The sequence below is a fragment of the Homo sapiens genome, chromosome 1 (assembly GCF_000001405.40).
Source record: "Homo sapiens chromosome 1, GRCh38.p14 Primary Assembly".
Lineage (NCBI taxonomy): Eukaryota > Metazoa > Chordata > Mammalia > Primates > Hominidae > Homo > Homo sapiens.
In genome coordinates, this window is record NC_000001.11 from 218043246 (window position 1) to 218065837 (window position 22592).

The following is a 22592-nucleotide window of genomic DNA, read 5'->3' on the forward strand; positions in this document are numbered from 1 at the left end:
CCCAGATTCATGGACATTTCATGTGTCTGTTTACATTTTCCATTTAAACATAAGATTTCTTTTCCTTGAATATACACAAACCTTCTTTTAACGTTAAATTTCATATTTCTTACAGTTTGAGGACTTTTCACAGCACTTATTTCACTTGATTCTTTTAAAAAATCCTGTGTGGCAAGCAAAACAAAGATAATGATTGCCACGTCACAGATGAAGAAAATGACGCTTAGAAGGTGAATTGGCTGAACAGAGGGTCGGCTGCAGGTGGGCAGCAGGGCCCTTCCTTTCCCCACAGGCAGGGAACACTTGTGTTTCCTTTGTTTACTTCTTTAGCTTATGTCTTCCGCGATGAAACGGTAACTTCCTGAACGCTCTGCAGTTCATCGCTACACTCTTCCTCCATATCTAGAACGTGGCCTGGCACATATTAGATGCTCAATCATCATTTTAAAATAAACGAGTAGTGATCCATTCAAGTAACGTGGATAAACATCAACAACAACAGCTGCTTTCAGGAAAAAAGGGCAGACTCTGAATTATGAAGAATGTGAGAAACTTAGATCAGTATCATGAAGATTGTGTACTTTTACTTTTTAGGGCAGCTTTATTGAGGGACAAATCACCCATTTTATTTTTTAGTTTTACTGAGGTATGATTGATATAAAAAATGGCACACATTTAAGGTATACATCATCATGAGTTAAGACATATGCATGCGCCCATGATGCCATCGCCATAACCAAAGGTTAAATATATCCATTAAATATATCCATATCTCCAGAAATTGCCTTGTGCTATTTTGTAAATCATCCATTTAAAATTTATAATTCAGGCTGGGTGCAGTGGCTTACACCTGTAATCTCTCCACTGAGTTCGAGGCAGGAGGGTCACTTGAGCCCAGGAGTTTGAGACCAGCTTGCACAACATGATAAGACTGTCTCTACAAAAAATTTAAAAATTAGCCAGGCATGGTGGCGCACACCTGCAGTCTCAGCTATTCAGGAAGCTGAGGTGGGAGGATAGCTTGAGCCAGGGAGGTCAAGGCTGCAGTGAGCCCTGATCATAACACTGCTGTCCAGCCTGGGTGATAGAGGGAAACCCCCATCTCAAAAAAAAAAAAAGTGCTAATTTCTACTAGACTTCTCGTTAGTTACTGTATCAGAAGACATGTAAAAATTATAGGGCAGATCATGAGTGTTGAAACTTTGAATAATTGTATTTCCCCAAGTGTTTATTTTTGCAATCTCTTGTTATAATTTGCACCACTTCCTTCCCCCAGATTATGTTTGTGCTTGTTTGTACTGGAGAGCATGGAAGAGCTCACAGGAGAAATTGTGCCTCCTTCGCCATCCAGGGTGAGTTGGGGGTGGGGAAAGGGGTGTAGGAGTGGAGCTATGTAGCGGTGGCAGCTAGCATAAGGAGAAGGAAGTTCTGGCTGAGGTTCTGTGACTTGGTGCAAGAAAGAAAGCGAATATGGAAGATCTGTCTGACTCTGAGAAGTGGCACCTGGACCCAGCAGATGGAAAGCTCCTGGGAAGTTCTCCAGTACTAAGGGACAAATCTTGGCAATTCCATTAGCTATCTTTGTGACCTTGAAAGTGTAACTTAAGCCTCTTTGTGCCTCAGCTTCTGTAAAATAGGTATAATAATAGAGATGTGAAAATAAAATAAGTCAGTATATGTGAGGCATAAGTAAGCATTACATAAATGTTATATATTATGATTCTGTATCTATCTATCTACATGTAACTTGCAATGTCTGGGAGACATAACAGAAATATGGCTAGAGGATAGTTGGAAATATATTCGAGAAAGCATTCAAGTCTAGATATATAAATCTGGGAGAAAATCACAAATATAATACCTGCATTTGATAGGTAGGAAGTAAAGAAAAAACAAAGCCAGTAAAGAGGATTTGAGTGTGTAATTGGTTAAAAGTGCAAAAAACAGGGTAACATACATTAGAAACCAAGAAAAAAATAAGTTTTAAGAAGGATAAGGTGCTCAACATTTAGTTCCACCCTAAGTCTTGATATTCCTTAGACAATTTCTGTTTCACCTACAGTCCCAGCATAAAAATATCTAATTTTGATGTTAAATTATGTAGTTACACTATCAAAATTATACAAGGTGGCCAAGAGTTCTGAGAATATGGGAAGTGAGACAAGGTCATGGACTATTTTGAGAAAATAGGGTTAACAAGAGTCCTATTACAGAGAGAATGGTGGTCAGAAAGTAAATATATTGACTTTGAGAAGTTTCAAGACAAGGGGAAAGAGATAAGGCTATCAAATTTAGCAAAGAAAAATACAGGATACTGGTTAAATATGCAATACTTGGGACATGCTTATACTAAAAAGTTATTTGTTTATAAGAAAGTCAAATTTAACTAGGTATCATATATGTGTGTGTGTGTGTTTGTGTGTGTGTATATATATATATATTTTCTTTCCCCCCACTTTTTTTTTTAGATGGAGTCTCGCTCTGTCGCCCAGGCTGGAGTGCAGTGGTGCGATCTCGGCTCACTGCAACCTCCACCTCCCAGGTTCAAGCAGTTCTCATGCCACAGCCTACTGAGTAGCTGGGATTACAGGAGCACGCCACCACGACCGGCTCACTTTTTTATTTTTAGTAGAGATGGGGTTTCACCATGTTGGCCGGACCTCAAGTGATCCACCTGCCTCAGCTTCCCAAATTGCTGGGATCATAGGTGTGAGCCACCACACCCAGCCTGGTATCTTCTATTTTATCTGGCAACCTTAGAAGGATAAAGAAACCATGGTAACTCTAAAAACTGCACGTATTAAGGGAAGATGTATAAAGATTTAAACTATGAAAATGTTATTATGTCTGAAAAATCCCAAAGATGAATTTTTTCTTTTGTTGATAAGGGATGTTGTATAGGAATCAAGAGCTTGGTAGACAGAAGTCTTAGAGGCGGAGCTGCCTAGATTCAAATTCTGACTCTACCACTTCCTAGCTGTGGCAAGTGACTAAACCTCCTACCTAAGGCAAGTGGCTAAACCTCCGTGTCTTAGTTTTATAGTTTTACAATAACTAATGATTTTTAACACACTTAGAACAATGTAAGTATATAGAACTTGAATTTGTAACATGGCAAGTGATAAGTATATGTTAAGTAAATAAAAATTTTAAATTGTTACTGGTAAAAAAAAATGTTGCTTTTTTTCTGAAACACTAATACTGCTTTTGAAAGCCTAAAATAATAAACCTTCAAGCAAAATGTCTTTGAAAACAGAAATTGAGAAGCAGGGAATATTCCTTTCTACTTTCTACCTTTCTAATGGTTGAATATGTTTACCGAGAGAATGTATAATGTTTTGTAAAGACAAAAAAAGCACAAATATTTCTATGTTCTGCAAACTATAATAGCAGGGTGTGTTCACGATCAAAAGTTTCTCTAGAAAACACTGTAGCAGAAAGCTAAAGAATAGTCAATAATTCATACAGCTGCATTAAGGGGTCAACTGTAAATTACTAAAGTGGTCTCATAGCAATGAAGACAAATGAGAATAATAGCAAGTGGCTAAGAACAATCTATGTCATTTTAATAATTTAAATCATACAAATAATATAAAAAACATTTAATGCCAAAAATGTTAATTCCTGACCCTTGTCTAATGGAATTTGATAATGTAATTAGAAAAAAGCTAATACAGTTGATGTGAAGTTAGACATACCTGGCTTCTGTTGAGTCCTCCCAACTTGTATTATCACTGCATAGCTCAAGTGCCAGGAAAGCAGCTAGAGACAGGAGTCATTCTACCTGTCTTTGATAGCGGCACTTTTGCCAATCTACAAAATGCTAAATAATAAAGACAAAACAAGAGAAGTGATTAAGAGTAAGAAGCAGAAAGGAATAGAAAGTCTTGAAAGGTTTTTGAAATAACTCTGATCCTCAGAACATACATCCATCATATTTTCAAGTTTTTTGACTGTATCTTTAAAAACCTCCCAGAGGAAAGGATGCTTTCCTGAATGATCTTATATACTTCATTAGACCAATAAGAAGTATAGATTTCCCTTTTTTGCCTTGGCTTCTAGGAGGCTTAAAACTGAATTTAGTGACCAATTGCTGTATGGTCCTCAAAGTTTTGAATGATATTCATACTTTAAAATATCTAAATCAAATGATTATTTTATCTCTGCTTTTTATTTTTAATACAAAGGCACCTCATTAAAAAAGTCAGGGTACAATTTTTTTTAAAAAAAGAAAGATTTCTAAGGTGCTAGATTCCAAATCTCTCTAGACCTCTCACCAGACATACAAACCTCTCCGTCCTCACACAAACTTATTACCACCACTGCCCCCCGACCAAAATCTTGAGTTACCTTGTGTTTTTCAGTCAACTAGAGGGACTCTTATCTAGAAATAGGATTTTTTAATGTTCTATGAATTAGTAAGATTTTTTTTTGCTTCTTTTTTAAGACAGTAAAGTGCTAATGGAGAGTAAAAAGAAATAGCTGAAAGACAGCATCAGTATATAAAAATCTATAATATGGATTATAAAATCAATTTTTCAATACGACTTGAGAAAACTCTTCTTAAGGGAGGTTAAGAACTGTTGTGATAAACACAAATCATTGTTTTTTCTCTTTTCACTTGCAAAGTATATTTCATTCTTTGGGTAGCATTTCATTTAAAATATGAATATGGCATAATAATAAAGACTGAGCCCAGCCCCTATGGGAACTGGTCAGTTGGTATGGTTTTATTACAGTAAATTATTCTTAAAACCCAGAGAAACTTGGGATTATAAATATAATAAATATTATATATAATATAAATATAATTAATATGCAATTAAAAACAGAATCAAAGTGACATTGTAGAATCATAATAAGATAATATTCTAAACTTTCGCTAAGAATCAGAAATACATATACCTGGAACTTACCTTGGAGATGCTGATTCATTAAGCCTCAGATGGTGTGATTCTGGCATGCAGCTAGGCTCAGAACTTGAAAGCAGACCACAACAATTCTGGAGAGCCTGAGGAAATGATCAGACATGAAGAAAACAAGTGTGCATAAAAGATGTTCATCATTGCATTGTTTAAAATAGAAAATTCATGTACTGCTAAGTAAACCATTTCATATATAAATGGACTAGCATCTGGCTATTCAGAATTAGGAACACAGAGAATTTAAGAACATAGGAACTTACCATCATTATAGCAGTCAACTGGAATGTAGCTCCATAGAGGCAGGGACTTTTGTCTCTTTGGTTCACTGCTCTATCCTCAGATACCTAAATAATGTGTGACATACAATATGTGGTTATTTAAATACTTGTTGGATAAAAGAATGAATAAATAACTTTAAAAATAAGATAAAACATCACACATCACTAAAAGGTTAACTAAAGACAAAAATCATTACAAAGTTGAAGAAAATATGTTTTTCATTCTGAAAAAAATAAATAAAAGTCAAGTAAAAAAATTTCAAGTGTGAATCCATGCTCAAGGCATCTGTTAAGCTACTATGTGGTAAAGCACATAATTTAAGTTTTGATTACGGAAATTGCGGACTGATGAAAACATTTACTCACCTATTCTTCTAGATCAAAAGCCTTAGAGTAGAGTCAGTCAGGCAAGGGTAGAAAGGTTGGATTTTAGCAGGAAAATGCCAGAGATGAGATCCAAAGAAACTCACAGAGAGACTGGACATGTCTCTGAAAAGCCTGCGATTACAACCTGCTTGTCTCCTCCCCATAAATGCTTCCTAAGATGTAACCTGAGCCTTGACACTTAGCTGTGCTTCTGGTGAATGTGGAGGGCACTCTGGCTCTCAGTGCTTCTTCCACAGCAAAGGAGGCCTATTGGGCACATAAGGTGTGCATAAATGCTTGATGATTGACTGGTTGATTGGAAAGAGGAAGATATGAGTCTGGAGGACAGACTGTCAGTTCCAGATGGTCCCCTGAGGATGAGCAGGAAGCAATCCAGAAATCTCTGCCCCATAAAAATCACAGGCTGTCAATTGCATGCATCAAGCAGTGTTAAGAAGAGGCAAAGTGGAAGCAAAAAAGAACTAAGAAGTGATTCTTCTTGAATGTGTGGCTTAGCAGTATCTCCATTCCCCTTTTCCAATTTGCAGGGCATTCCCAAGCACTTTAGTCCATGTGCAGCCCCTTGAGTGTCTACACAGCTCTTCATGTTTTAGATGTGCTTGAAGTGAAAACAAATCGGTTTCATGATCCTATTTCTGTTTTTCCCCCAAGCACTGTCCTTTCAATAATTTTTCCTCTTTTTTTTAAAAAAAAAAAAAAGTTTATTTGCTGCCAAAGAGAAAGTGTGGGTCTTTGTTATTAATGTTGTAGAAATACAAATATGTCCACCTCAGAAAGGAGTCTTCATTAACTCCCACAGCCCAGAAAATTAAGGCACGCCTCATCAGGATCCAAGCTTGCTGTCGACAAAATTGCAAGGGACTAGTTGAGTTGCTGGGGTTCATAATGCTGATAGAGCGGTTTCCACGTGAATGAAGGATAAACAGCGATTAATTTCAGCCAATAAATAATGGTTTGAGGCCCACATTGAAAGAGGAACAATTACTTTTCCATTTTTCCTGCCAAATGAGCTGATAAGAGAAAACAGGGGAGTTGGCCACGTAAATCAGTCTTAATTTTATCTTCCCCATTAAAAAGCAGCCATTAAGACCATCTTCGGCTCATTTCATCCTCCTCTTGTTTCACTTTTTCAATTTGCACAAAACGGGGGAGTTTGCTCGTCATAAAATTTCACTTTGGCCAACCTATCATTTGCATCTGGGCCAATAAATAGCAATTAGCATAAACATTTAAATCAGGAACTGGAACAAATTCTTGTTCCCCCAGCAAGCTGTTAAATTACAGTATTTTACTATATATAAGAAGCCCTAAACAAAAGATCTGTTGGGCATTGTTATCCTCTTCCAAATAGGACATGGTTGAAAGAGAAATAATAACTCCAAACCCACAAACTTCTCACTCAGATCAAGAATATCTGTCTTACGTGGTCTTGGCCTGGAGAATCAATGTTTCTTGCCCACTGCTTAAGTTTTCATCCAAACAGATAAGTTTTAGCTCAGTTTTGTGAAGTATGAAAACTGCAGTAAAGACTTCCTTGCCTGAATAAATGTTTCGCACTATAATTAAAAGGTGTCTCAACAGGAACTGTTCTAAGCTCAAATCAAAGTCCATGCATGAGGTACAATGAAATACATATAATGGGGAGATGAGAACTGGCATCTGGAGGTCAGAGGAAAAAAGATGATTCTGTGATCGAAATCCCAGTGCCAAATGATCCAGACCCATAGCTCATTCTTCCCAGTGCTTGTTTCCCACAGTGGCCTCTAGGGATGGTTTGTTATAAAAGATTGGTTGTCTCATATAACATTGTTCTCAAAGGCGAAATGCAACCCCAAACTTCTCTTTATCTAAACATAGTTATGTTTTTGGCCCGTGTTCTCTTTTGACATGTCAGAGGGCGATGATGAAGCTTTACAGAGAGATATTAAGAGAAAATAAAAAAAAACTACAGAGACACACTGTAGGTGGCTGTCCCCAAACCAAGTATTAAACCTTCTTTTCCCTTTAAGCAAAGCCCTTTTACTGTCAACTGAAACTTAGTTCATTATTTATCTATGGCTCATTGAAAGTCAAGGTGAGTGCTTCTCTTGATGAGACCCTAATTAATTTTGGCTGGGAACCCAAAGTGGAACAGAGTGGTTTTGATGTTTTCTATGAAACCTTACATTGGGAATGTTTAGGTTTACCAGTGAAATTCTATTAATGGCTTCCAGTCTGCATATATGTGAAATATATATTTGCAATTACTCAGAAAGGAGACATTGAAAATTTGAATATATTGTTCTCTCTCTTTCTTTTTTTTTTTTTTTTTTGAGACAGAGTCACGCGGGCTGGAGTACAGTGTCATGATCACAGCTCACTGCAGCCTCAACCTCCCAGGCTCAAGCAATCTTCCCACCTCAGCCTCTCAAGTAGCTGGGACCACAGGTGTGCACCACCATACCTAGCTAATTTTTTAATAATATTTTTTAGAGACAGGGTCCCACTATGTTACCCAGGCTGGTCTTGAACTCCCAGGCTCAAGGGATCCTCCCACCTCCACCCCACAAAGTGCTGGGATTATAGGCATGAGCCACTGCGCCCAGCCAATAAATTGTTCTTTATTGCTGTTTTTTCATGAATTGTTCTCTTATTTCTACAAGACATTAAAAATAAAGAGAAAAACGGCCTGACTTCTAAGGAATTAGAACATTGTCAATCTGGTGTCAACTAAAAACAGAAGAGCAATGCTTTCACCATCTCAGATACTGGCAAAATGTGAAATTGACATTGTTCCTACTTCCTATAATACCTAAAAAATAGCTCAACTCTCAGCTTTGAGTCTATAATTTATGAATTTAGTTATGTGAATGTGTAGGTGCCCTCTTTATTCTTTCCTCCAAACCCCTCTGCCTGCCCTTGCTAAGCTATTTACTGCCCCTTATCCCATCATACCTACATTTGGGCTTGGAGAAAAAAAAAATAAAGGAGAGAGAAAGGAGGGAAGAGACACAAAGTAGATACATTTAAACTTACATTCTGCCCCAGTGGTCAAGAGAATGAACGGCACAGAAGACACCAGGAATCCAAAAGCTTCTTTCTTTCTGCCTCAACTACCACCTTCCCAAAGTAGATGACAAAGTGGATTTATATAATCCACTAATGTTTATTGAGTTCCTGCTGCATAGGAGGTCTGTGCACTGAATAGGAGGCCTGTGGCCTTCTCACCTCAAATGTTGGGTTAGGAAATTTAACATAATCAGTTAGAAATATTTGCCAATAAGTCCCAAAGTGCCAATAATTACATAGGTTTGCAAAAGCAAATATATATATATATATATATATATATATATAATATAAACATTTTGTTTTCACTTTACATGTTGTCTAATGTATTAGAGTATGAAATCAAGATAGCTGGATTATTGTTCATAATCACAGCAAATATTTGAGCTACCCTGTCCTATAACACTAGTGACAAAAAGCATTTTGACATGCATTCAATATTTTGTTAGGCTGAAAGAAAGAAAATGTGGAGACAGCATCACAAGAAGCTGACAAAGTCAGGCATCACGTAGGACACGCAGCAAAACTACATTTCCCAGATTGCCATGCAGTTAAGTTGCTGTGGGCTAAATTGTAGCTAATGAAGTGTGGACAGATATTACATAAGTCACTTCCAGGTCTGGCCCTAAAAACATTTTGTTGAGTCTCAGCTCTCTCTTTCCTTTCCTCAGTAACCTTGGGGCCACAAGCATCAGATTGTGTAGCTAAGAAATGAGGAAGGGCCGGGCGCGTGCCTCACACCTGTAACCCCAGCACTTTGGGAGGCCGACGTGGGCGGATCACGAGGTCAAGAGTTTGAGACTATCCTGGCCAACATGGTGAAACCCCGTCTCTACTAAAAATACAAAAATTTGCTGGGGGTGGTGGCATGAGCCTGTAGTCCCAGCTACTTGGGAGGCTGAGGCAGGAGAATCGCTTGCACCCGGAAGGCAGAGTTTGCAGTCAGCCAAGATTACACCACTGCACTCCAGCCTGGCGACAGAGCGAGACCCCATCTCAAAAAAAAAAAAAGAAAAGAAAAAGAAATGAGGAAGTGCAGTATGAGACTGTAACATACAACTTTTAGTATGTTCAGCCACCAAGATGTCAGTTTGTCTGTTGTGGCTGCTGGTTAAATTACCCTTCATAATGCAGAAGAGGAGACACAAGCAGGAGTGATTCAAAAATATATAAATCCCTCATTGGTACAGCCAGACATTAGTTCTACAGAATTCTCATAACTACAGAGCTGCTTTTTCTCCTGCTGCTCAGAGAATAACAAAAATTAAAGCTGAGCAAATTAAATAGTGAATTAGGACAGAATGAGACAGAAGATGCACCCATTAGGATCAATGAGAAGCAGACAGTAACTTTTCTAAGGAAAATACATTAAATGAGCAGCTGAGGAGTTCAATACTAAGACACTTAGTTCCACAGACTAGCTGCCTGGGAAGTGGGGAAAGTTGGGGGATGACTTTCAGACATAATTACAAAGGCAAATGCCAAGAAAAGCTGAAATGCTGAAAGTAGGGGGAGCTGAGGCAGGAGGATTGCTTAAGCCCAGGAGGTCGAGTCCACCCTGGGCAACACAGCAATAAAAACAAAAACAAAACAAAAAAACAAGTTAAGGTACGGCCAGGAGCGTGGTTCACACCTGTAATCCCAGAAATTTAGGAGGCCAAGGAGGGTAGATCACTTGAGGCCAGGAGTTTGAGACCAGCCTGAGCAATATGGTGAAACCCTGTCTCTACTAAAAATACAAAAATTAGCTGGAAGTGGTGGCAGGTGCCTGTAATCCCAGCTACCTGGGAGACTGAGGCAGGAGAATCACTTGAACCTGGGAGGTGAAGGTTGCAGTGAGCCAAGATCACGCCACTGCATTCCAGCCTGCGCAACAGAGTAAGGCTCCATCTCCAAAAAAAAAAAAAAAAAAAAAACAAGAAGTTAAGGTACATTTGGAAATTATAATGACTAATGATATTATAGATAAAATAATAATTATTATAATACCCCTTATTTAAATTAATGGATATATCACATTGCAAACACCATGTCTATTAACATAGTTATGTATTTGGCTTCTTTTTCTTTTCTTTTTTCTTTTTTTAGCTGGGGCCTCACTGTGCTGCCCAGCCTAGTCTCAAGCTTCTGGGCTCAAAGGATCAAGATATCCTCTCACTGTATCCTCCTAAGTAGCTGGGCTGATAACCACCAGCCATCACACCCAGCTCATATTTGGAGTCTTATTTCTTTTATTTATATATTTACACATTTTTATTTGTACTCACACATACATATTAGAATTAGTATCACACACCCAAGGCTATTCTGTTTCATTAATCTGTCAGTATTTAGTGCCAAGACAGCTTTTGTTTTTAAAACCCTTATTGGGTTTTATTTTGGAAACTATGAAAAATGTGTACTATTTTGGGGATTATTAAAAAACTCTTTGTAGACTATTTGGAAAATAAGGAAAAGTATTTTAAAAAATCTCTCCTACCACCTAGATAATATATTAACATTCCTGTGAATGTGTGTATGCCAATTATGTAAATTATAGCCAAATTGAAAGCATACTTTTTATTCAGATTTGTTTTGTGATTTTTTTCTCCTACCATTTACTTGTTATTAAAAACTCCATTGGTTTTCCAACTCGGTGAGAGCTAAATCTAAATCTATGTACAATGGGTACGCTGGCTACAGGTGTGCCCGGATGTTGACTCCCTCAGCTAACAGAGCTACTCAGTGGGGCCTGCGGCTGCTGGCAGGCTCATCCATTTATGCCAGTGTGTTGTAGAAACAGAATTTTCTCTGCCATAACATGAAAAACCTTCAGAAACATTCTAGTCTAGTATCATCTCTCTCAGTAAACATTTCTGGATATTTGCATTAAATTTGTTAACGATACTTATAATTACTGGGGTTTTTTTGTTTTGTTTTCATTTTTTTGTTTTTAAAAAGAGTCTTGCTCTGTCGCCCAGGCTGGAGTGCAGTGATGTCACCATAGCTCACTGCAGACTAAACCTCCTAGGCTCAAGCACTCCTTCCACCTCAGCCTCCCAAGTAGCTGGGACTACAGAAGTGTGCCACTGCACCCTGGAGATTTTGAAATTTTTTTTTTGTAGAGACAGGATCTCACTATGCTGTCCAGGCTGGTCTCGAACTCCTGGGCTCAAGTGATCCTCCCATGACCTGCACCAGGCCTCTACTTATTGTTTATTGTAATAATGCATTAGCTCTGTTTAATCACCATTCATTTATGTTATACCATTCTGATGCTTTAATTCATTTTTCATTTTGCTTGAGTTTATCTTTATGGTATTTCTTCTTAGACAAGGTATAAAAGTGGCATATTTTTGAGCCCTTCTTAAGCTGAGAGCCTTTTTGGCTTAGCACATGAGTGATAAGTTGGCTTGCTATTTAATTCGTAAGTGGCAATCTGTTTCCCTATCATCTTTTGTCATTGAATGTGGTAGAAGAGAAGTCTGAAGCCAGTTTCTTTATGGAAACCTAGCTTTTCTATTTGGATGCTTACAGTTATTATTGCAATTATTCTTAAAATTCAAAATTTTTCCTAGTATATGGGTATACTAGGAAATATGATAGTTTGATTAAAAGAAATCAAAATTACCTAGATTTTAAACATCCCTTACAATTTTAGATTGGTATTTATTGAGCTTGGAATTGTTTTCTATTATAACTGTGATTAGTTCTATCTTTCTGATCTATCCCTCTGGAATATAATTAGTTAATTTGTTAATTATACAATTGTTTGTTGAGTACCTATTATGTATCATCATACCCTGTGTTAGGGCAGGGTGGACATAGTGGTGGACAAGAAAGAGTTGTTGCTTCCTTCATTGATTTCAGAAGCTTAATAAGCAAAGTTATTCCTAACAATTGAGGCACAGTATAGGATCCTAACTCCTAGGAAGATGCATATTTATAATACTTGGTAGGAGTATTCATTCTTCATTCTCTGTGTCTGCCCTCTTATTTTGTTTTATATCTATGTCATTATGCTTTGCATTTTACACTACTCTTTCAGGCTTTTCTCCCTCATCTTTATTTGTTTATTTATTTATTTATTTCCTGAGACAGGGTGTCACTCTGTTGCCCAGTCTGAAATGCAGTGGTGCCATCTCAGCTTATTGCAGCCTTCACCTCCCAGGCTCCAGTGATCCTCCCACCTTAGCTTCTCAAATAGCTGGGACCAGGCGCCACCACGCCTGGCTAATTTTTGTATTTTTTTGTTTTGTGAAGATAGGGTTTTGCATGTTGCCTAGGATGTTCTCAAACTTCTGGCTGAAGCAATCCACCCACCTCAGCCTCCCAAAGTTCTGGGATTACAGGCGTTAGCCACTGCACCCAGCCTCTCAACACTCTTTAAAGTTTCTGAAGTTTCATTTCTACTCTTAAGTAGTTTTTAGTATACTTTAGGGTTGCACAACCATCACCACAATTTATCTAATCTTGGATACTTGGAACCCTTTTATCACCCCCCAAAAGAAACCCCGTACCTATTAGCAGCCGCTCCCCACCCTCAAACCACCCCCAGCCTTTGGAAAGCACTCATCCACTTTCTGTCTCTATTGATCTGCCAATTATGGACATTTTATATAAATGAAATCATACAGTAAGTGGCCTTTTGAACCTAGTTTCTTTCACTTAGTACATGTTCAAGATTCGTCCATATTATAACACAAATCAGTATTTTACTTACTTTTATGGGCAAATAACATTTCATTATAAGGATATACCACAATTTGCTTCTCCATTCATCAGCTGAGGAACATTTGGGTTGTTTCCACTTCGTAGCCATCTTGAATAATGCCGTTATCAACAATTTGTGTACAACTTTTTTCATAAACATATGTTTTCACTTTTCTTGGATATTTGCCTAGGAGTGAAATTACTGGGTCATATGAGAAGCCTATGTTTAAGTTTTTAAGAAACTACCAGACTGTTTTTCATGGCATCTTCACTATTTTACATTCCCACTAGCAATGTATGTGGTTTCCAATTTTTTCACATCCTCACTAACACTTCTTATTTTCCTTTTTTTAAAAAAAGATTTTAGCCATCCTTGTGGGTATGAAGTGGTATCTCATTGTGACATTAATATACATTTCCCTAATGACTAACAATGTTAAGCACCTTTTCATGTGCTTGTTGGCCATTTGTGTATCTTCTTTGGAGAAATATCTGTTTAAATCTGTTGTCCATTTTTCAGTTGCCTGTTTGTCTTTTTGTTGTTGAGTTGTAAGAAATCTTTATATATTCTGAATACCAGAACTTTATTAGGTATATGATTTACACATATTTTTTCCCATTCTGTGGGTTGTTGTTTCACTTTCTTGGTATTGTCTTTTGATGCATAATCATTTTCAATTTTGAGGAAGTCCAATATATATACTTTTTCTTTGGTTGCTTGTGCTTTTGGTGTCATATCTAAGAAACCATTGTCTATTCCAAGGTCATGAAGATTTATACTCATGTTTTCTTCGGAGTTTTATACCTTTAGCTTACATTTAAGTTTTTGATGCATTTAGAGTTAATTTTTACACATGATAGAAAGTAGGGATTCAAGTTTATTCTTTTGCAAATGAATATCCAGTTGTCCCAGCATCATTTGGTGAAGACTATGCTTTCACCATTGAGTGATCGTGGCATCCTTGTTGAAAACCAGATAACCATAGATCTATGGGTTAATTTCTGGACTTTTGCTTTTATTCCATTGATCTACGTGTCTATTCTTTTGCAAATATCACGCTGTCTTTATCACTGTAGCTTTACATAAGTTTAAAATCAGGAAGTGAGAATCCTCCAACTTTGTTCTTCCATTTCAAGATCATTTTGGCTACTCTGGGACTCCTGCAAATTTTAAAATTTTGACAGGTATTGCATTGAATCTGTAAATCAATTTGGGGAGTATTGTTTGCAATAGTAACAATTTTAAGTCTTTCAATCAGAAACATAGAATATTAGTCCACTTATTCGGATCTTTAATTTCTTTCAACAATGTCTTATAGTTTTCAGTTTACTACTCTTACATTTCTTTGTTAAGTTTATAATTTATTTCTAATTACTCTATTGTGTTTGATTCTATTGTATATAGTCCCCAACTTTTTTTTTTTTTTTTTTTTTTGAGACAGAGTCTTGCTCTGTCACCTGACTGGAGTACAATGGCCTGATCTCGGCTCACTGCAACTTCTGCCTCCCAGGTTCAAGTGATTCTCCTTCCTCAGCCTCCCAAGTAGCTGGACTTACAGGCACATACCACCACGCCCAGCTAATTTTTGTATTTTTAGTAAAGACAGGGTTTCATCATGTTGGCCAGGACGGTCTCGATCTCTTTACCTTGTGATCCGCCTGCCTCGTCTTCCCAAAGTGCTGGGATTACAAGCATGAGCCACCACAGCGGCCCTCCAACCTTTAATTTTGGAACATTAGAAAGTTACAGAATAGTTAAAGGAATAAACAGTACAGTGGAGCTGCATATACCTTACCTTTTACCTAGATTCACCAAGGCTAACATTTTCACAAATTTATTTTCTCTTTTACTCAGTTTCCCTTTCCAACTCTTTTCTCTTTCCTTGAAAAAATATTTCTACATTTCAAGAACCTAACTTATACATGAACATTCTGAACAATGCCCTTTATATTATTTAAGGACTGCTAATTTTAAAAAAGAATAACATTAAAGTAATACTACTCAACGTTTCTTTGATGATACAGGGGATAACTCCCTTACTTGAATATTGCCATTTTGAATTCTGATTGTAGTTGTTTGGGTACAAAAGACAAGGATGGGTACTAATACCTCCTACTGCCAAAATGAAGATAAATTGGTTTCTATTGACATATATTCCAGTTCTGTGCATTCTGTGGCAAGACAACAAATAGATGGGATGATTTCTGTGGAAGTCTACAGGTGACATTTAATCATGGCTACAGTATTTCATGTGAGCACAAAGAACAAGCCAAGACTCATTTGGGGAAAAAATTAATCATTCATCTAATAAATGTCTTTTGAATGCCTGTCATAACCAGGAACAGAGCCAGGTACGTGATGAACAAATAGGCTGGTCCCTGCCCTGATGAAAGTTATAGGCTAGTGTGGTCACAGACTATGAACGAATAAACAAATACATATAGACAAGTCATCATCCCTCATCAATTATTTTGATATCACAAAGACTCTGAAAAGTATTTTTTTAACCCCTTTAGCAGTAAAACCTAATTTGTATTAAAATAAAGCATTATTTATTTGTCTATCCATCCCATTTGGTGGGAATATTTGTATGTTTTACTATACAGAAATATTAATGTGCTTGATTACAAGGTACTGTGCCAGGCTCTTTAAAATAATGATGTACCATGTCATATTGTACATGTGGTTATGTCATTCATATTTTTAGAATTTAGATTTTTGTTGTTTTAAATGAATACATTTAAAAATGTAAATATTAATGTAAATTAAATCTAAATATATATATATATTTAAATACCTTTTATTTTTAAAAATACTAATCTAGCAGTGAGCTGAGATTGCACCACTGCACTCTAGCCTGGGTGACAGAGCGAGACTCCGTCTCAAAAAAAAAAAATACTAATCTAAATTCTGAAATATACCAGACATTAGTGGTTTCAGGTAAAGGGAATAGAATGGAACACCTGGAAGAGAAGATATTTAAGTGGCAAATATAACAAAAGAAATTATCAGGATGTAGTAGCAGCAATTGTGAGGGGGTAGTTGGTTGAAGAGAGACTGCATCTATCTGGGAGCAATGGCCTATCCACTGGAGTGTAAGCTAAGACCTAAATAATGAGAAGAAACCAGCCATAGAAGTTAAGGATAGAAGACGGTGCAGGGAGAGTGTTACAAGCAAACAGAAAGCAAGTAAGTGTAAATTCTCTGATGAGGAGAAAAGGGGCTGGAATGTAGTAACTCTTGCTACTTTGGAAAAGCAGGGAAGGATTTCTTAATTCATCCATAAGTATAGGTCTATCTGCCCTCCTTCCCTCTGCCCCCAGCTCTTTAAATGACTGTATTCCCTTCCTCACCATTAGATGCGAACATGCAGACTGAAGTTTCAAACATTTCCCCTTCTCACAGTAGGTGTGGTCTGGAATCAGACTGCCATGACTGATTGGGAAAATCTTAGTAAACATCACACTGTGCTTGGATCTCCTGTCAGACAGAGAATTGTTTCTCTGTTCGTACAGTTATAATTCCCATCAAAGATGAGCTTTACAAAAATGACTTGGTCAACAGCTGAATATTCTATTAGACCAAATTTTGCCATCATATATAGAGAACTTCTTTCACAGACTCAATCTCATCCTCCCTCTATAAATGGTTATTTTGTTGAAATCAAACATAAAAATTATGTATGTGTATTGTATTGAATTCAGACAAATTGATCTGAATCCATAATGAAATAAACAAGACGAGTAATCTAAAATGTAACCACCCTTGTTTTAGAGAGAGGGGCTGAACACCACCTCATTACCTAATTAAAGCATCTCCCGGCCAGGCACAGTCTTTACCCTCTTGAGTGAGGCCAACGTGTAGCTGGCTGTTCCTGTCTCGAGAGGGTGGGAGTTCAGTGACAAATACTTTCTGAATGTACTAATTTGAATGAAATCTTGGAACTCTGATGGCCAAGACACAGGAAATTGGCAAGTCTTACCAATTTAAAGTGTGAAGGATGGCCATAATTCTGCCCAGATGACTAAACAAGTTAGGCAATGTGATTTTGATTGGTAGAATTGCATGCAAATCATATCCTCTTATGTAAAGACTCTGTTTCATGAACAGAAATTTCTTCATAATTGTTAGAGGTTCATTAAAAAAATGTTTTCAGAACACGGGAAAAACTTTTACTGCCTACCACATTTGAACTCTCTCAGAAAATTAAAAAATAAAAATTAAAAAACACTGTTAGGCTGTTAACATTTCTGTGTGTCTGTAGAAAAGAAAACAAATATATTATCCCACAGAATCCATTGAGCCTAAAGCAGCATTTATATGATGACAAGTACTGGATTCTGGAGAAAATTCTGTTATCTGAATGTTTGCTCACATAACATCTACATCAACATAATGGAAAATAGCTAATAATTGGCCAGATGTTTGGCTTTTCATTTGATTGGTTGCTTTCAAATTATTTTCTACCCCAACCCACCTGAGGGTTACAACACCCACCCCCCCCCCCCCCATCAGTTAGAATAATTCTCAAGGGGAGAGGGGCCTGTTCAGCTCTAGGTAAAGGGAGGAGGTTGGAAAAAGTTCCTCAGGTGACTCTGATATGTCCCTCTAGGGCACTATCCCGTGGCAAAGACTAAGTAGAAATGAGGCGTTTTATGAGTGAGCTGTTTCAGTGGCATCACATTGAAAATGACATCATCAATTATGGTATTTAAGTCCTCCATTTTCAAATATGGAAAGTCTAGACTGATTTTAAGGGTAGGTTCACACAGGCAGACTGAGATAGAAACAAGATAGGACAGACTGAGGAGAATTGATCAACTTTGATGATTGTGTGAGAATATTGACATAAAACAGCTACCTTCACTATATTTCTATGTAATCAATTTGAGGGTAGGTGGGGAAGTGTTTCTTGAAGCAAAAAATCATTTCAGTCTTTTTTTTTAACTTCTCAGTTAATTCATTCAACATGCATTTTTGGGGCAGCTGTTTTCTATAGAGTATGGTACCTGCTTCTGCAACTTTATATTGTATAGCCCTGAGAGTTGCTAGTTTCTTAGGAATTAAAGAATCTGAATTACTTTTAAAGAGTAGTCCAATAAATTCATTTTAGCCTTAGGAATATGAAACTAAAGCTGGGTTTACATTTGAGAAGTAAATTTCCTTTATAATGCTTTTTAAAAAAGCCATGCCATAAGTACCTGTGTCTAGATGCTCATGGTATGCAGACACACACAGTTTAATTACACTAAACCAAAGGTTAATGTCCAGAATTTGGTGACTAATATACCACATGAGCTTGATCATTTAATTAATATCAAATGTTCAAATATAAAATAAAATACAAGAACTCTTACCCTCACTTAAATATATAATTTACCTAGACAATTAAGGAAGATGGAGTCACAGAAGTATAATATGCTTATAACTCTGTTCCCTTTACCTTGATTAATTGTTTTGTTCCTGACCATGCCTAGATGAATTCCCAGTTTCCGAGGTCCCACTACATATACATCCAAATAAGAAGGTCTTCCTTGTTTCCTGTGACTCAGAAAAAAAAAGGGGAAGAGCTATATCTATGAGGCTCAAAAGGACTGTCAGTTAGCTCCAGAAGCGACCTTGATAACTTCCGATTGCAAAATACATGGGCAAGTTCTTGTGATGGGCACAGTTCTGTCATATGCCCAATTACAAGGCAAGAGATGTTCCAAAAATTATTCCTCAGAAAACAGTGGTTCACCTTATATTTGAGGCCCTAGGAACTTTCTTATATCCAAGGGGTTTACTCTCAATTACTTCATTTTCAAAAGTAACATATCATTTGGGGAAAAAAACTGAACAGCCCTAAATCACCAGTTAATATTGTTGCTAGAACTGGCTTAAGAAAAAACAAATATTAAGAAATATAACACAGGTTAGTAGTTATTCTGAGAGTACAGTTACAAGTATTGGCTGCCATTGTAATCAAGTCTTTTAGAGATCACTTTAAAACAACACCATGAACAGTCATGCTGTGAAAAACACAAATGTGCATTTGTGATGAACAGAAAACCAAAATCTATCCAAATATAATATGAATAGGCATCATGGCTTGGGATAATATTTTTAGTGCCACTACCATATATAAATGTAAAGGTGTTATATCTCAAACAGCTAAGAAGAAAGTGCAAGGGAAGCCACTGTAAAATTGTGATGACAAATGAGGCTCAGTGGTGATAAAGACACTGATGTCAAAGATGTGAGGAAGAGTTTGAATAAGACTGGCATGAAGTGTGAGAGTGGACAAAGTATTTTCAAATATCTATTATACAATTTACTTTAGAGATTCATATGTATAATACATAATATATAATATATAAAATATGATTTTATATATCATATATAATATGATTTTATATATCATATTATATATAATATATAATTCATATATATGAATATTTAAAGTAACATATAATGGTATTATACAATTTACTTTAATATATAATTTACATTAATCTCTAAATTATATAATAGATATTTGACTTTCAAATGTATCTCAAAATTATTTATTCAAATTCAATAATTATTTTTAAAATCTTAGCAATCAAACCAGTCTTAATGTTTTAAGTCACTGCAATCAGAAGATAATGTGTTGGTCATTTGAAATTTTGATGTTTATAATATGAAATGTCCCTGGAGTAAGGTAGCCAGATTTAGCACATAAAATACAGATTGCCTGGTTACATTTGAATTTTGGATAGACAATGAATATTTTTTAGTACAAGGATGTCTCATGCAATATATGGGACATACTTATACTAAAAACAAAATCAGCTATTTACTTAAATTTAACAGAACGTTTTGTATTTTATGTGGCAATGCTTTCCTGGGATGAATTAAAATTTTACTCTTTTATGTTGAAAAGGAACGAGTGGGGGAAACTGTTAATAGGGTTTTCAGTATGCTGGTTTTCGAGATAGATTTATATTCTTGATTCCCAGACATTGAAAAATGGGAGCAATCCCAACCCATCTTGTTGACTCAGTACTTACTAAATCCTGTCCAAAATAACCCCTTTCTCTGTTTTCATGTTGTCTTTCTCTCCCACAGCTGATAGATCTATTTTTTACTTTCACTCTATAGAGCTATTTCAGACAGAAATTGCATGAAGGATGCCATATCAAACAGAGCAGCGTTGTGCAGGATGCTGGAAAGAACTGTTTGGGGGGCTGCACATTATTCTAATGATGGGAAATACTCGGTTCATCAGGGAAACATTCCTCTAAGGTGTATTCCAGAGACATATTAAAAAATCATAAAATTGGAAATTCTTCTTATCATCTTACCAGCCTTCAAAAAAAGGTTTTTTAAAAAGGGTAACATGTAGGACCCGGTGTTATTTCTGCATGACATTAGCGCCCATTACTGTTCTGCATACATTATAAACATTACACAAGGGTCATCATGAACCCTGCAGTGCAAATTTTCATAAGGCGATTTATTCCTACCTGGTGGGCGCTTAAACCTCCTTTGTCTATAGGAGCAAAGTGTGTTCCAGCAATAAATAGCAGAGAAAGCACTACTGTGTCTCTCTTTTTCCCCAACCAGAGCAGACCTTGGTGGATAGACTAATTCTTCTCCTCTTTTTAACCATCGACCACATGCTCTGGCACTATTACAAAAGTCACACTCCTATAGATAGTCTGTTATTGGTTAACTAGACAAAGCCCAACAGTTCGGGTGACCTATTTTTGCTTTTTGACAGTGCAAGTCAAAGTACTTAACTTCAATCACGATCTCATTTACAAACCCCCCAAAATAAAAAGCATGACAGTGAACACTAATATGATGGTAATTTCATATTGTTTCTGCTTATGAATTTGTCTTTCCCTTATTAATCATCCAATAAAGTACTGACGCTGCAGAATCCTGACGTGGCTCAACAAACCATGTACTAAGGACAGTAGCACCCTAAAGGAAGAGGCTACAGCCAAACTGGAGAAGCGCAAAGCTTTTATTAACACCAGAGGCCCATTAGAGTGCTCTCTGTTCACCTTCAGTGGAGCAATAAATGAAGAGAGCTCCACCGGAGAGGACTCCTACTGTCTTTGTGCTGGTAATGCACAGCCAAGCTGTAGTCATGTTGTAACGCTTGTAAGAAACAGATGTTCCTTCCTTGACAAATCTCCTTTCTTGATTTATTATTCATTTGCTCAAATCACAATGGAAAGTCTTTGGCCCATTAATTAAATTCCAAGCAAAATAAAATTTGCAGCAGAACTCATTACTGGTAAATGACTTTGACACTTCATCAGATTTGAAGGTAAAATAGGCGACTTTAGGAAGTTAAAGGTGGAGGGAGCCTAGGCCTTTTCTGCAACCACTGCAAGATGATAAAGATTGTGATGAAATTTTTATGTTAAGTACTGATCTTGGAAAGTTCAATTATCTGCCCCCACCCCATCTCTATCCCCACCGTGATCTACTTTCTGCTTTCCTTTAAAGGAAGGCCTGAAGTAGACACTTAGATTTCAAATATGTTTGTGTATGTATGTATTATATCTTGTTCCAAACACCAAAGCATACATTTGTTTTCAGTATGCAAAGAAGCTTGGCACATTGTGTATCTGATGTATTACCTTTTGAATAAAGGTCCAAGGGAAACCTAATAAGCATGAACTGCAGCATGATAAAGGAATTAAAGCTAGAACTTGGAGAATGGAATAAAGGGAATTTTGACATCCTGATCCAAACATCCAGAAATATTATCTAAAGTGAAGCAAAAATGTTAGATTTTCAAGCTATGCAAGACTTAACCAAATCACGAGCAACCCAAATGGGGAGAAGATAAATGCTTTCAGTGGAAAGGCAGAACCCACGGTTTTCTTCAGAAATAGAACACGTCAGAATTTTGAAAATGTGAGACACACAACCAGCTTATACGACAAAGTTTGCTGGCATGGAAAGTGGAATTGTATTTCTGTTTATGTAATGCCAGTTTTGACTCTGAGTCTTATTAATGAAATCTATCTTATCCCAATGATTCAAATACGCTTTCCCCATGCAATTGTGTGTTGTGATACTTCTCTCCTGCAGTTATTTATATACTAAAGGAGTCAAATTAAGGGTTTTTTCTCCATTTTTTAGAGGATGTTGCACCTTGAATCTAGGCAAGTTGTTGAAGAAATACTTAGCAAATACCATATCAAAAATGCCTCTGCCATCCACTTAAAGCAAACTTCTTATTATGAGGCATATGAGAAAATACAAAAAGATGAATGAGAA

General features: G+C 36.7%; 2 long non-coding RNA genes across 2 annotated transcripts in view; one reads left to right on the forward strand and one right to left on the reverse strand.

The window, feature by feature from the left end:
• LOC105372922 (uncharacterized) overlaps positions 1-5682 on the reverse strand; it is a 132858-nt gene extending 127176 nt beyond the window's left edge. The window contains exons 1-4 of the long non-coding RNA XR_001738466.2: positions 5570-5682; positions 5186-5269; positions 4917-5011; positions 3699-3823 (exon numbers count right to left, since the gene is read on the reverse strand). This is a non-coding gene — a long non-coding RNA (uncharacterized LOC105372922). The remainder of the gene's footprint in view (positions 1-3698; positions 3824-4916; positions 5012-5185; positions 5270-5569) is intronic.
• LINC01653 (long intergenic non-protein coding RNA 1653) lies at positions 260-15895 on the forward strand. Its single transcript, NR_110794.1, has 4 exons — positions 260-1352; positions 2889-3008; positions 7910-8017; positions 15489-15895. It is a non-coding gene; the product is annotated as a long intergenic non-protein coding RNA 1653 (long non-coding RNA).
• Positions 15896-22592: the final 6697 nt, after the last annotated feature.